Genomic DNA, 15,951 nt, shown 5'->3' with positions numbered 1-15,951 from the left:
CATGAAAAAAGATAAAAATTATATTTAGCCATTTAGAATGCAAGATTAAGTGGAGATGTACAAATGCACTGGAGGGGCAGAAAGATTAATCATAGATTTTGAATACATCAAAGAAAATAAAAATATGAGACAAATATCAACTCTAGAAAAAAATGGAAATAATTATGTAAAGGAAATATAACTGTATCACTTAACTAAAAAAATTGCTATTACATGTTTATGTTGATTAAAATGCAGTTTAGACAGATATGTATTATTATAAAATATCAAATTTGTATTAGAAAATAAGCTCTGAGTTCTAAATAATTATGATCCTGGGGGAAGAACTCATCTGTGCCATTAAATCCATAAGTTTCTATATTCTTTATGTTTTTTTTTGTTCCTTCATTGTGCCTCTGACTCTACGGCATCATTTTATCTATTACATTTGCTTGAAATGATTGATGACACTCTCAAACAGATCTACAAAACTATCAGCAATCCCACAGTGTGTCTTTGACTTCCCCTTTCCCACTGCCTGCAAAATCATACTAATTTTTCTCTATTTTCCTCAAATACTATCAGAATTCCTACTTTCACCACCACCATCGAACACATACTCACTCTTAACAGGTATTTTAGAGAAAGCCAGTAACTTAATATTTTAATGGTTTTACATTCAAAATATAAATTTAAAACCAATTGATTTTGAAAACTATCATCACTTTTGTTATTACAAAGCACCTGTTTCTTATGTACCTTAAAAATGAATTATTTTATCTATGCATTGATATACAAACATATACTTACATTGCAAATAGACCTCTCCTTTGTGTCAATTTAACTTTTTTTCTATTAAACTCAATACATTTCTATCAAATTATGTAAAAGAAGAGCTTCATCTAATAAAACTAAAGCAGCCTCGGGGGCTCCATTTCTCTTTCCAGGTTATAGCTCCATATAGTACCATGATACATTATGCACCCATGTATCATTAAGCTTCTTTTTTTTAAATTATTTATTTATTTAATTTTTTTTTAGACAGAGTCTCGCCCTGTCACCCATGCTGGAGTACAGGAGCATGATCATAGCTCACTGCAGCCTTGAACACCTGGTCTAAAACAATCCTCCCACCTCGGTCTCCAAGGTAGCTAGAATTACAGGTGCATGCCACCACACCCAGCTAATTTTATTTTTTATTCTTTTTGGAGAGATGGGGTTTAGCTATGTTGACCAGGCTGATCTCAAACTCTTGACCTCAAGTGATCCTCCCACCTCATCCTCCCAAAGTGCTAGGATTACAGGTGTGAGCCACCATGCCCAGCCCAACTTTTTGAAAGAGTGCTTCAAGCTCACTGTATTCATTTTCTCACTGCTTATACACTACATTCCAGTCTGGCTTCATTCTGCTGAAATACTCTCTAAGGGCATATCATCAAAGCCATATCTTACATCACCACCACCAACAGCAAAATCAGTTCTTTTTTACTAGACCTCTCATGGACATTCAACACTGATAACTACTGAGAACTGTCCTTTAAAGGTTTTTTTTTTTTTTTTCCATTTTTCATCTACCTCTCTTCTCTTCATACTTTTTCTCTTCCTTGTTGAAGTTCTTTAATACCTGCCCCAGGTCCTAGGAAGTAGAAGACTTCCACTTCTTAAGTGGTTTTCTCTTTCAGAAAACTTCTCCACACCCAAAGATTCAATCACCACTTATATGCAGATGAATCTCCAATATAATTCCTGAAGCCAGATACCTAGTGAACATAAGATCATATATTTCTGGACTTTACTTCCTTTGTGTTTATACTGAAACATTTCATGCAACACACATACAAAACTAAACTCATAGTCTCCGACAAATGTGGTTAATTTCCGCCATTTTCTTTTTTTGCTGAGTGGCACTGGCATCCATGCTGCTATGGAAACTAACAACGTTAAGACTCATCCAAGAAGTTCACTTTTCATATATACTTATATACTTAACCTTTCTTCAGGTACCACCATATTTAAGTCCTAAAACCTCTTTTAAAATATACACTTCTTCAGAGGAAACTTCCTGGTATCTGGCAATATGATAGCCCTATTATAAATTCTCTCAGCACTGTATCTAGCTCTCAGCACAAGTACAATTCAAGATTGGAAAGATTCTAGGTTGATGGCAGTCTTCCATGTGAGACTCTATGCTGCTTATATCTACAATTGCTTACCACCATAACATCACTGTATATGCCACACCAAAATAGCTGCCTGACACATAGTGTAATATGAATATATGAATAAGGAAAACTAGAGTAGCTACCTAATTTAAAAATTCAGTAAACAAACCAACAGATTTGTCAACCTATAAAACCCATTTTTTCCACATTGATTTTGACCCGGTCATTTTGCTGAAGTGACATTTTATGAAAATCATGATTTCTAAGAGTGTTACTTATATACAACCACTCATAACTTTACCGGGGCTCTCATCAGCATTTAACATGAGAAGTCATACTTCCTTTTGTAAGCCATCTCTTTCCTTGAATTCTGTGATTTACAGATAATTATTTTGGAGGAGTAGGTGAAATATAAATTTGAGGCTATCAACTTATTAAGTGGATTTTGAGGACAGTCACTATATTCTTTTTTTTTTTTTTTTTTTTTTTTTTTTTTTTTTTTGAGACGGAGTCTCGCTCTGTCGCCCAGGCCGGACTGCGGACTGCAGTGGCGCAATCTCGGCTCACTGCAAGCTCTGCTTCCCGGGTTCACGCCATTCTCCTGCCTCAGCCTCCCGAGTAGCTGGGACTACAGGCGCCCGACACCACGCCCGGCTAATTTTTTGTATTTTTAGTAGAGACGGGGTTTCACCTTGTTAGCCAGGATGGTCTCGATCTCCTGACCTCGTGATCCACCCGCCTCGGCCTCCCAAAGTGCTGGGATTACAGGCGTGAGCCACCGCGCCCGGCCAGTCACTATATTCTTAAGAAAGTTCTATTAATTTTGCAAATACTTTGAGGGTTATAAAAAATGGGGATATAATAAATCATACACCAAACACAATAAATGATCATTAAGTACTTTATTACTGATGCTACATATTTCCCAAATCCAGTAGAAATGTAATCAATTTTTTAACAGGATTTCAGTCTTTCTATTAAGTCTTTCAGATCAAAATTAAAGAAAATTATATTGTATACTTGATCGATGTCCTTTATAGAGTCTTCATGCTCAGTCATAGGCTCAATTACATGTGTCTAATAAGAATTATAAATAATAGGACAAAGTTACTTCAGTTAATATATTCTGTTAATCTATTTCAGTTCAGAAAAAAAAAACACTAACCTATTTAGTTTTAGGATCTAATATATGTGAACAAACTTGGGAGGATTTCTTTAATAATCTATATGCATTTTTTGTTTTACATTTTTTCAAGCAAACATGTGACCTGGATAAGTATTTGCAAACACAAAATCACTGCAGTATGTTAGAGCACAAATGCAATGGCAGGCATTATTTTTCAGTAAGTTATTGTGTAAAATATTTGAGTCATGCTGAGTACAAAATCTTTTGTTAAGGCTGATTGGGTTGCAGATTATAAAATGCCCTAATAGTACCAATACATTAGACTCACCTTTCTCAAAAGAAAGTGACTAATAATATTTTGTTGCTGAGTTAAACAGAATAAATGTCTAAGAATTTAGCCAGGAGGCTGAGATTTTAATTAGTTATTAAGGTGTTCAGGTTAATGTAAATCAGATTTGCTTTTCTAGCTAAAGAATCCAGATTGACAGTGGCATTAACATTGTCATTAAATCTTGAATAAACACAAATTTCCCAGTGCTTGCAAGAATCTGACTTGGAAAAAGATGAAAAAAGAAATACTATAGAGTATTTTGTTAATTATCAAGCTTTTTCTTTGTGTTATGTTTATCAGATATATAACCTTTTAAATTGAAGCTGATAATCAAATAAAGTACTTTTTAAAAACTGCTTGTTAGAGTTAAATGATTACTCTTAGCTTTTCTTTCTTTTTTTCTATTTCCATTTTTAATAGCCAAAAAAAGTTTCTTATCACTGTTTCTAAATAACACCATGACATCCTGCTCACAAATTAAAATACATTGCAATTCTCTAAATAACAGCAATCTACCCTTTCTAAAATTTCAAATCAAGGGTGCTTAATTTTTAGTAAACCCACCTATTCTGCATGTATAAATTCAATTTAAGAAAGAGCTTATGTTTAGTAGGCTTGAAAATGAGACTATTTTTTCTCTTAATTTTTCTCCTTAAAATTTATTAATTCCCTTTTACATTCTAGATCTATAAATACTAAAATATTCTACGTATTAACTACTCAAACCTTCATGTAATAGTGTAGGTTCTACTCATGTCACAGATGAGGGAACCAAGGAGCACAGTTATTTACTAACTTGCCCAAGGCAAGTTTCAAAATTATCTTTGAAAATGATAGCTTTCAAGGTTTATTCTATAATGGTTTACGATCATGCGTTACAGAAATAGAACAACTGGGTCTAATTACTAGTTCTAATAATTCTTGTGGAGATTCACTGAGATTTTATACACACACATGTATGTTTGCGTGTATAAACATGTATATAACAATGCCTTGCACATATGTATTAACTATTTAATATATGTGAACTATTATATTCATTACTTGGCATTAATGTTTAGGTTGTTTCCATTATACCTTCAAAATGTAATGACTTTTTGAGAGCCTATAAGAAATTATTGGAAATACACATATATTTTTAAAGGGATTAGGGATTCCTGGTATTTGAATATGAATTGTGAAGACTAGCATTGAAAAAACCCTTGGTAACTTAGCAGGAGTAGCTGCAAAGGTGTTCCTTCTTTTCCTAAATGAATTATAAAGTATAAGAGCAATAAAGTCTACTTGTTTTTTTACTACTAAAGTTAAATATATATATTTATATTAAATATATATTAAATATATATTTATAATGAATATATATATAAAATATATAATATAAATATAAATAATTATATATTAAATATAAATATAATTAATATATTAAATATAATTTATATATTAAATATAATTAATATAAATATATTAAATATATATTAATATATATTAAATATATATTAAATGCATATTTAATATATATTTATATTGAATGCATATTTAATATATATTTATATTGAATGCATATTTAATATATATTTAATATATATTTATATTGAATGCATATTTAATATATATTTAATATATATTTATATTGAATGCATATTTAATATATATTTAATATATATTTATATTGAATGCATATTTAATATATATTTATATTAAATGTATATTTAATATATATTAAATATATATTTATATTAAATGTATATTTAATATATATTAAATATATATTTATATTAAATGTATATTTAATACATATTTATATTAAATATATATACTTAAATATATATATATGAAAATGTAGAATTTGAAGCTTTGGTTCAAGTAACTATTATTCCTCTGTCAAAGCCTTTCCTGAGGAATTTTTTTTTTTTGGTGGAGAGTGAAAAGACTAGGTGCGCAGTGACCAGCTAAAGGAAGAATGAGGGAGTTCCAATACTGTGAGAATGGGATTCCAGGTGGATTTCCTGAAAATGGTTAGATTCCTCAGAAGCCTTTCCTTATTTTGGAATGTTATTTATTATAATATTTAGTTTGTTTCTTATTCTGCTCAGGAGTCTCTACTAATCTGTGGTTTGTACTGACCAGAAACAGGTATTTCAAGGAAATTGATGATAAAATATATATAAAGTAAAATATAAACCTTTACTTTTAAAGATTGTGCTATTTGGTGCACAAAGAATGGTATATGTGTTTTCTGAGTGAGATGAGAAATCAGACAGCAGATGAGTCATACATTCTTACTTCCTTTTGAAAAACTGAAAATGACTCCTGGATTGAACATAGAGCTGGCAAATCAGAAGCAAGAAAATCTAAAGGTGGTTGTGAAAAATATATAGTAGAGAAGTGGTGGTGGTGGCGAGAACCAGTTATTGTGGCTATATTACATAAATAGTGCTAATAGAATTTCCTTTTAGATTCAATACATGGTGTAAGAGAAATAGAGGAGTTGAGGAAAATTCAAATATCCTGGGCTATGCTAATAGGATACAGGCTCTTTGCAAATATTTTTATATGTTTGTTTTTTTAAAATATGGAACCCTTGAATAAAAGCAAATCTGAAGGGGGTGATTGGAGTATGTAAAGGTTAGATTGAGTTCAGATTGGGGCATATTAATTTGAGATTGTCTATTGTATGTTCAAGGAAAAATGTTGAATTGTTAATTAAACATGACTGGATTTTAAAATAGAGGCATGACTGGAGATACTTTTTTTTTTTTTTTTTTTAAATTCTCAGCATCTAAATGATATTTGAAGCTATGGGACAGGATTTAGGAACCAGGAGACTGAATCTTGATAATAAGTAAAGTGGCCTCAAACTAAGTTGTGGAGCATTTCAAAGTTATATGGTTAGAGTTTGCATGATGAGTTTCTGTATAAAGAAAGAAGGACCTGTAAGCCAGACAGGACAGAGAACAGAAGGTATGTTGTCCCTGAAATAAAGGAACAGGTTCTAGGTAAATGGTAGTAAGAAGATTCAGTGCTGTAGGAAGATCAGGCAGGAAGTAAATTAAAAGTTTACATTAGATTTTCAAAGTCGATTTTATTTGTAACACTGGTAATAATAGCTTTTTTTTTGGAAGTGTTGGAATGGAATTAGTTTAAGTGAGAATGGAAGTTAATTAATCAGAGCCTGATGTCCTTATCTGTAAAACTGAACAATACTAATAACTATTTCAAAGGGTTTGTAAGAATTAAGTTAATTTACATAAATTATAAAGCACGGTACCAGGTACATAATAAATACTTTAAAATTGGGCTTCAATGTTTATTACAATTAATTATTTTTAAAGACTTTTACTAAAAAACAAATTTTAAAAGAACAGTAAAAAAGGGATGGATATACTACAACATCTGAGTTTTTTTAATTCCAGAGAATTTTTATTATTGAAATAGACAAATAGTTCAATAGCTTATTGGAATTTTAAATGGTGTGCTTAAATAATTTAGAGAAAAGAACAGATATTGAAATTAATTCCTTGCCTTTTTCCTAATTTCACATACTTTCAAGTTAGGTATATTAGATATAGAAAGTAGACCTCAGCTAGGTGTACTTTTATATTTAGAGTGAGACAGAATTAGAAACATTTTGTAATATAGGTGTAGTCTGTATAAGCTTGCTTAGTTGAATTAGAGTTGTCTCTGAGAGTTGTCAGAGTCACAGGATTGGCAGAGGATGTATGGCAAATGTGTATTTTTATTTGTATTTATATCAATCCTGTATTAGTCTGTTTACACACTGCTATAAAGAACTGCCAGAGACTGGGAAATTTATAATGAAAAGAGGTTTAATTGACTCACAGTTCCTTGAGCATAGATGGGGAGGCCTCAGGACACTTATAATCATGGTGGAAGGAGAAGCAGGCATGTCTTAAAGGCAGCAGGCAAGAGAGCAACAATGAGAGAGAAAGAGAGAGAGAGCATAGGAAGAACTGTGAAACACTTATAAAACCATCAGATCTCGTGAGATCTCACTCACTATCATGATAACAGCATGGGGAAAACTGTCTCCATGATCCAATCACCTCACACCAGATCCTGTCCTCAACAGATGGGGATTATGGAGATTACAATTCAAGATGAGATTTGGTTGGGGACACAGAGCCAAATCATATCAAATCCCCAAAAGCTAAAGCTGCGTGTGAGGGTGATGTGCTCTCTTTGGCTTAAGCACTATATTAATGTTTTCCTACATATCTGAGTTTTCTTCCTTTGTCTCTGATAAGAGTTATTCTTTACTTCCGTTTCTAACTTTCATCTCAACAAGTCCATGAATGTAATAAAAAATAAGAAAAACACTTGAATTAATGTTTTGTCCCTCTTAGCATCTTGGAAAATGAAAACAGTCCTTGATATAACGAACTTTAATTGTCAGAAATGGCTGCACCTTGGCAATGATACAACTTTTTGTATCCACGAGAGAAACATGTTTCTCGATTTGAATTCAATCATGAAATATATGTAATTATAAAGTAATTAAAAATACATAGCTTCAAGGCCTCCTGTTGTTGGATAATAGATATGAGATAAGCATTTTGGACTAGACCCTTTGTAATTTCTATGACACTAATAGAAAAGTAAGAATTATTCTGAAGCAAAAAATGTAGATAAGCTGGAAGAGAAGAGTCACAGTTATAATTTTCAATATGATTTCTTCTAATTTCCATCATGTATTCATTTGCATTTTTATGAAGTAGATCTCATATCAATGCATTTGTTCAACAAACTATTGTTGTCATTCACTCTGTAAAATGATAAGGCCATACTGATGAAAAAAGTCATGGCCTCTTTCCAGAATAATCTCACAAGCATCACGAGAGATGTTTATATCAAACTTTACAATGAAATAACAAAATGTACCTAGTACATAGTAAATTAATGAATTAACAGTTTCAGCAAAACAGGGAGGAGTCTTTAGTTCTATTTATTAATAGTAATAAAAAGTATCCAATACCTGCATGCGTGCACACATACACACATGCATACATGCACCCACATACACATACACACACACACAATGGAAATTTTTATAATCAGTATTTGGCTACTGGTTGATTATTCATGGTGAGTCAAACAGAAAAGTTTGTAACAACTCCTACTGTTCTAAATTGGACACCTTACTGCTCTAACAGAATATTCAAGAATACAGTTGACACTTGAAGAACTCTAGAGTTAAGAGCACCATCCCTGGAGCAGTTGAAAATCCCCATAAAGCTTTTGATTCCCCCAAAACTTAACTTCTAATAGCCTGCTGTTGATTAGAAGCCTTACCAATAACATATGCAGTCAATTAGCACATATTTGGTATGATATATATATATATATATATATATATATATATATATATATATATATATATAAAACTGTATTTTTAACAATAAAGTTAGCTAAAGAAAAGAAAATGTTAAAATCATAAGAAAGAGAAAATATATACGTGTTTTTCATAAAGTGGGAATGGATTATCATAAAGTGGGAATGGATTATCATAAAGGTCTCAGTCCACATTCTCTTCACGTTGAGTAGGCTGGGGAACAGGAGCAGATGGCCTTGCTGTCTTAGGGATGACAGAGGCTGAAGAAAATCTACTATCAGTGGAGTGGTGTAGTTGAACCCCATGTTATTTAAAGATCAACTGTAATTCAACTGTAATGTATTCAGACGAATAGCTACTTATTTCTCTTCCCCCTCTAACTTTAAGTATTTATTTAGATGGCTTTACAGGTAAAACTTAAAGTGATGGAGTTTAAGCAACAAATAGGTAAGTGTACTTTTTTAGACTAAGATTTTTTTAAAGATATTGCTTTTTAAATTATTTCCATCTTTGGTCCAAACAAAATATTAGAGTATAGTGGAGTATTTCGGGCATTTACTTTGTCTCTTAATAAGTAGATAATATTTAAGTTATAATATTTATGTTAGAAATATTTTTAATCTTGCTCATTGGAATAAGTTGCCCTTGATATAACTTTATTTACTTTTTGAGTAGCTAAACCATTAAAAAGATACCTAAATATATATGGTTATTTAGTGAAAATCATTCTCAGTCCACTCAGTGCAACTATTACTCAAAATATAATCATGTTATTAGTTTCTTGTCAATCTTTCCAATGGTTTTAGGCATATAGAACCAAATGTTTTTACAAATATTTTGCTTATGTTACAAAACTAATATACTATATATATCTCTGCACCATTCTTTATTCACATTACATATATATTGATGATCCTTCTATAAAAAGACATGCTCAATTTTGCTAAATATTATTCCACTGTACAGGTGTGCTCTAATTTATTTGGACAGTCCTGAACTGACACTTTAGTTATATACAACATTTCACTACGAATAGCTCTGTGCCAATGCATAATAACTTTAGTATACAGTTGTCCCTTCAACCACACAAGTTTGAACTGAACAGTCTCACTTATATGTGAATTTTAAAAATTAAAGTTACAAGTGTGACTGCCTTTCCTGCCTTCCCTGCCTTCCCTTCCACTTCCTCTACCTCTTCCACCTCTGCCACTCTTGAGACAGCAAGACCAACCCCTCCTCTTCCTCCTCCTCAGACTACTCAGCATGAAGATGAGGAAGATGAAGATCATTATCATGATCCACTTCTATTTAATGAGTAGTAAATATATTTTCTCTTCCTTATGATTTTCTTAATAACATTATTTTATTTAGCTTATATTTTGTTAAGAATAGAGTGTATAACACAAATAACATACAAGATATATTTTAATCCACTGTTTATGTTGTTGGTAAGGCTTCTGGTCAGTAGTAGGCTATTAGTGATTAAGTCCTTGGGAGTTTGTAGTTTATTGATTTTTGATTGACAGTTTTTTATTTTTGTTTGTTTTGCTTTTGGTTTTTGGTAATACTTTCATGTCTCTAAATCTTTCTGTTATGGTTACACATCCCTAATTTACTTTGCATTTATAAAATTAAAAATATACATGTTTTTAAGTATTTTTATAATGCCGTTTTAACAGTGTTTAACCCATTTAAAATTTATACCTGTGTAAATTGGAGTCAACTCTCCCCCACAACTTCAGTCATTTCAATGTCATTTATTGAGTAGTTCAACCATTTCTTTCATTCAAAATACTACTAGGTTATATAATTTCCCATATGCATTTACATATGTCTATTTCTGAACCTTATCTATCACAACTTACATTTTCTCTAGTTGATTTAATTGTAATTATTAATTAGGTCACCATTTTATATAATACTGAACCATTTTTTATTGCTAAAATAAAAGTCACTGGATTATAGGAATTATTCTGCATAATACACAAAATAGATTTATTCACTAATACAGTATTGGGTTTTGTTTATTAACACTTTATATAGATCATTTTTGTTAATATTATAGCTATGATTCCTTTTATATTCAATCCTATTTGGATTGTTATATCATCAATATTGGGCTTATTTAATAAATAAAAGTGTTGAAATTTTTCTTCTTTTCCATCCAAGTTATTTAAATATTGTGTTTTTAACTTGGTAGAAATTCCATGAAATCTTCTGCTAGATACCTAAAATTATCTATTTCTTTAGAAATCGATCTGTGTGTATATGTATGTGTGTGTTTATATGTGTGTGTATGTATATATATGTGAGTGTGTAAAAGCATATGTTTTTATAAGTATTTAAAAGCATACGTATGTATGTGTATGTATATACATATGTGTATAAATGTATATGTACTTATAATACATACACACATATATGTACACTTTTATGTACATGCACTTTTACAGACACATATGCTTCTTATAATTATACAAACATGTATAAACTTCTTACAAGTATATAGCGTATATACTTGTATACAACTATATATACTTATATATACATACATATATAAAAATTTTTTTTCTTTTCTTTTATCTTTGTTGTATCTTGTATCTACGGTGGATCTTCAATGTTGAAATTTTTCTTTGTTTTCTGGTAGATTTTCTTCAAAATATATTTTTAATGCTCGTTTCACTCAGCTTTCATTTTTTCTCTCTTCAGTATAGAAGGTTATGTTTTCTTCTATAGATATCCATTTTTCCTAATCCAATAAAAATCGTGTTTTAATTTATGAAAAATAATTTTTTTTTAGTGTTTCCTTGAGATTTGGCTATACTTTTTCAATTGTTTTCTTGAAGCATTCTTGTATAGGTGCTACAAATGTCCTCTTTCTATCATTCACTGTTGACTGAAATTTGACTTGCTTTGACACGGCCATGTGAAACATATTCCCTTTTGGTAGCAGCAGGGGAGAAGCTTTCTCTCCTGACCAGCTTGCTGTCATGATACCAAAAATCCTCTTTTTCTCCATTGCCCTAATAGCATATTGATTCCCCCTCATATTTCATGTTTGTTGGAGTATTCACTTATTCTCACTTTCTTTAAATTTCTCACCCAAGAGGAGAACTTCTTCTGCTGGCCCAGAGTCTATGTCAGAGAATGCCTTCTAGAAGTTTTTTGTTAGGTTTGTCTCCTTGTTTTTCTTGTTTGTCTGCAACAAATTCTACAGACTTTCTGTAGATTAATCTGTGCCCTGTTCTTTCTAATTCCTTCCCTTGGCTTCTATGCAAGCTTTGCTGCTGCTTTTTGGCGCATTTACATGTGCTTTGAAGTCTAAAGATATGAGCTCCCTGGTATTATTTTTAAAATAAACTTTTTGTATTTAGTTCCTATCCAAAAATTCCTTCTGTAACACTGAAAATATGTAACTGGGAAAATTCTGAACTTTTCTTCAATATCACACCAGAAGCCTTAACAATATATTTTAAAGAAACTAATTTGAGGATACTGTAATTTTATATATATTTGGAGGAGGAGGAGGTTTTGCACTCTGTTTAGTTTGGAGTTCAATGGAGGCAATATTTTCCACTGGCAATTTGCAAATGTGCAAGGACAAATTAGGTGGAAAGATTACATGTTATATATAGTGCTGAGATCAGTAAGATCATTTTGCAGATTAAGCAAATGTTTCCATTTCTATTAAAAATGTGCCCATGAATTAAGTGTGTTAGCAGAGTTTCTTATAATAAAACTGCTTAGATATTCTAGTGGATAGACTATTAGATTTAAAAATATTACATTTTCCTAATAACTATAATTATATACAGAGATAAATGATCTTGAAATTATGACAAAGACTTTACAATGTGTTTGTAATTATGACAAAGACTGTTTGATGACGGTCATTGGAAGATAAATACTGTATATTCTTCCTTTTTTTTATTAGTTAACCAAAATAAAGTATTAAAAGACTATATGGTATAAATCCTGATTTAGATAGAGGCATAAAACTTATTTATGGACATTTAGCACATACATTTGACACCATGAACCTGTTTGACATTTTTTGTTATACTGAAGCCTTACGCTAATGCATCATTTTTTAAAAATGATGATATCAACTCTAACAAAATAATAGTTACCTACATTATATATTTTATTGCTTAAAATATTAGTTGATAAAATTTAAACATGACAATTTATTTGATAATGATACAGAGAAGAGACAGGGAAATACCGGGTAGAAGAGGGCAGCTCCTGGCAAAGGCCTCACCCTCAAGCCTGAAAACCCACGACTTTAAATGGGAACGGGCATTCCTGTTTTCACACCCTAAAGTTGCCTTTTGGCCTGCCACACCTCTGTCTTGTACCCGTATAAACCCCAGACCCCTGGCTCCAGAAGCAGATGAGTAGACGAACAGAAGAGCAGAAGAATGGCAGAATGGTGTGGCAGAGAGAAGGAATGTCTGAACATTGAGAGGAATTTGGCTGGGGACAGTCAGAGTGAAAATCAGCTGCTGGATGGCCACATTCCAGGGTGAGATCATCTTCTCACTCCATCCCACTTCCAGCTCCCCATCCATTCTGCTGAGAGCCACCTCCACCGGTCAATAAAACCCCCACATTCATCCTTCAAGTCCCTGTGTGACCTGACTTTTCCTGGATGCCAGACAAGAGCTCCAGATACAGAAAGCTGTTGCACTGGCCCTTTGCCCTTGTGAAAAGGTAGAGGGTCCACTGAGCTGTCTAACACTTAAGCCATCTGTGGATGGCAAGGCTAAAAGAACACACTGTAACACACGTCCACTTGCACTTTGGGAGTCTCAGACACCCACTCTGGACGCCACTGTGTGGCCAGAGCCCAGGGGCACTTGCCCCAGCTCCTGCACCTGCCCATCCGTGGACTCCCCATCCCATAAGGCATTTGAGCATGCCTAGCGGCTGAAAAAGATGAACTGCACCCTGTCACATGTCCTGCGAGTGGGGCCAGGGAACTCTCACACTTCAATAATACTTGAAATGCATTTACAAAGTAAGACAATTTATATGTGTATTAATATCTGCATAATAAAGATCTCAAAATTAACAGATTTATACCTTTGATAGGTAAATAATAGTAAGATTTTGAATAAATATAGCACTAAGCAGTGGAGCAGTGTTTCAAAGCCTTGTGCTGCAATATTTGATGTGATTTTGAACCCCAGTTCTACTTAGCATAATTAATAAGCTTTTTATAAAGGAATGTTCTCATTAAAGGTATATATCAATGTTTTAAAATAAGCACATATAATGCTATCTTTTGAGTTTAGCTTTTTAATGTCATGTTCCAAGTGTTTTTAGGAACTGCTTTTGTGCCCATGCTACATGCTAATGATTTACCTGGAGATGTCCTTTAAGCAAGACAATGGTGAATACTCCTTAGTGATTACTTGTTATCTTCAAGGCTCTTTGAAGTTAGGCTTTCTCTATATTATAAACCTCTGCTCATCTATGAGAACGCTATGAGCCTTGTAATTCTTTATCTGCTCTTTGACACGACCTAATTGTCTGCCTTCCTATCGTCTCTTGCTAAGCTACGGATAGAAACTCTTTTAACTCTTGCTCTGAGTGTGTTTTTTTGTTGTTGTTTCTCCTGGTGCCCATGACCTGTACATGGATCTAATATGAATCAGTGATCTCATCTAAAGAGGCTTTGGAAATCTGGTTCTTTACTATGACATACCTAATTTCCCAAGATTTGAAGTCCCCAAGATGCATAACAGATCCCAGTAAACTCAAGCATTATCAGTCACTGTTATTAGCAAAGCAGTTGTGGACCACAAATCATTTTATATTTTAGGTAATTTATCTCATAATTTAGCTCCAAGCATGCTGTTACTTAAACCTTAAAAATATGCTGATTTCTATAGCTCTGTGCCTTTACAGTGTGTAGGTTCTCTTCCTCCTACCTAGAATGCCCATCTAATGTTTTGTGTGCTTAACAAAAACTACAGTTATTTCTCAGGTTCCACCAAAGGTAATATAAAAAACCTAACCTAACTTTTTCAGAAATGAATTCCTCAATCTGCTTTATTTTACTTTTGTTTGCATTGCTCTTATCCTGAGAAGTATTTTAGTTCCTTGAAAGTGAGTGTCAAATTTATCTTCTTTTTTCTTTTTGCTTTTTCTTCATTTTCCAAAGGCATATGGTAGTTATTAAAAAATTGAAAGCAATGAAAGTGATAGAATGATTAAATACATACTTTAGATTATAAAAGAACAGAATTTCCAGCATGACTATTTGAAGACTTCAAACTAGATGTTTCAAAAAAAAATCATGGTATTTTCAATTTTCGTATGTGCTTTTGTGTAGAGTTGTATTCCAATAATAATGGAAACTGTGACTTGGTAAATATGTAAATCAGTTCTTGCTAAGTATTGGCAGTAGTTTTTAGCTAACTTTCTTTGCTGTGAACTTGCTGATCTTGCTGATTATATGTGGTGCTTATCTGTTCAGAGAAGGTAGATATAAAATGTTGAGAACAGAAAGCATTTTCAGGATGGTTTTTACTTTACATAACAGGGAATCTAGGCATGTGTCTTAGATACAGGGTCACAATGCATCTTACTTTTCCCTTGCTAATACAATTGAGAGAGAGCTAAAAGCCTTTAATGGCCTTTAGAAGAGCAGAGATGCTTCATTAATGCAGCATTGAAGGTAAAAAGTTTAAGGATACACAGTTTTTGAACTGTCATAGCCAAATACTTTTCTTTGTTCATCAGAAAAGCAGATGCAAGTTGCCAAGTTGACATCAGGGAAAGGTGTTTCTCTGGGGATGCCATGATTTCATATCTCCTGGCTTACATATTAAGAGATAGAAATGTTTTCTTTTTGAAATGTCTTTGTGGTTTAAACTCAAGTGACATCGACTGCAAATAGCCTGAGGCAAAGTTAGCTTTGATTGTTCCTTTGCTTTGAATGATCTAGTCACTTTAGAAAAGATAAATCATATCAAGGGGAAAATGCTTAGAAATG

This window comes from Homo sapiens, chromosome 5 (assembly GCF_000001405.40).
Source record: "Homo sapiens chromosome 5, GRCh38.p14 Primary Assembly".
NCBI lineage: Eukaryota > Metazoa > Chordata > Mammalia > Primates > Hominidae > Homo > Homo sapiens.
This window is presented reverse-complemented; position numbering follows the sequence as displayed.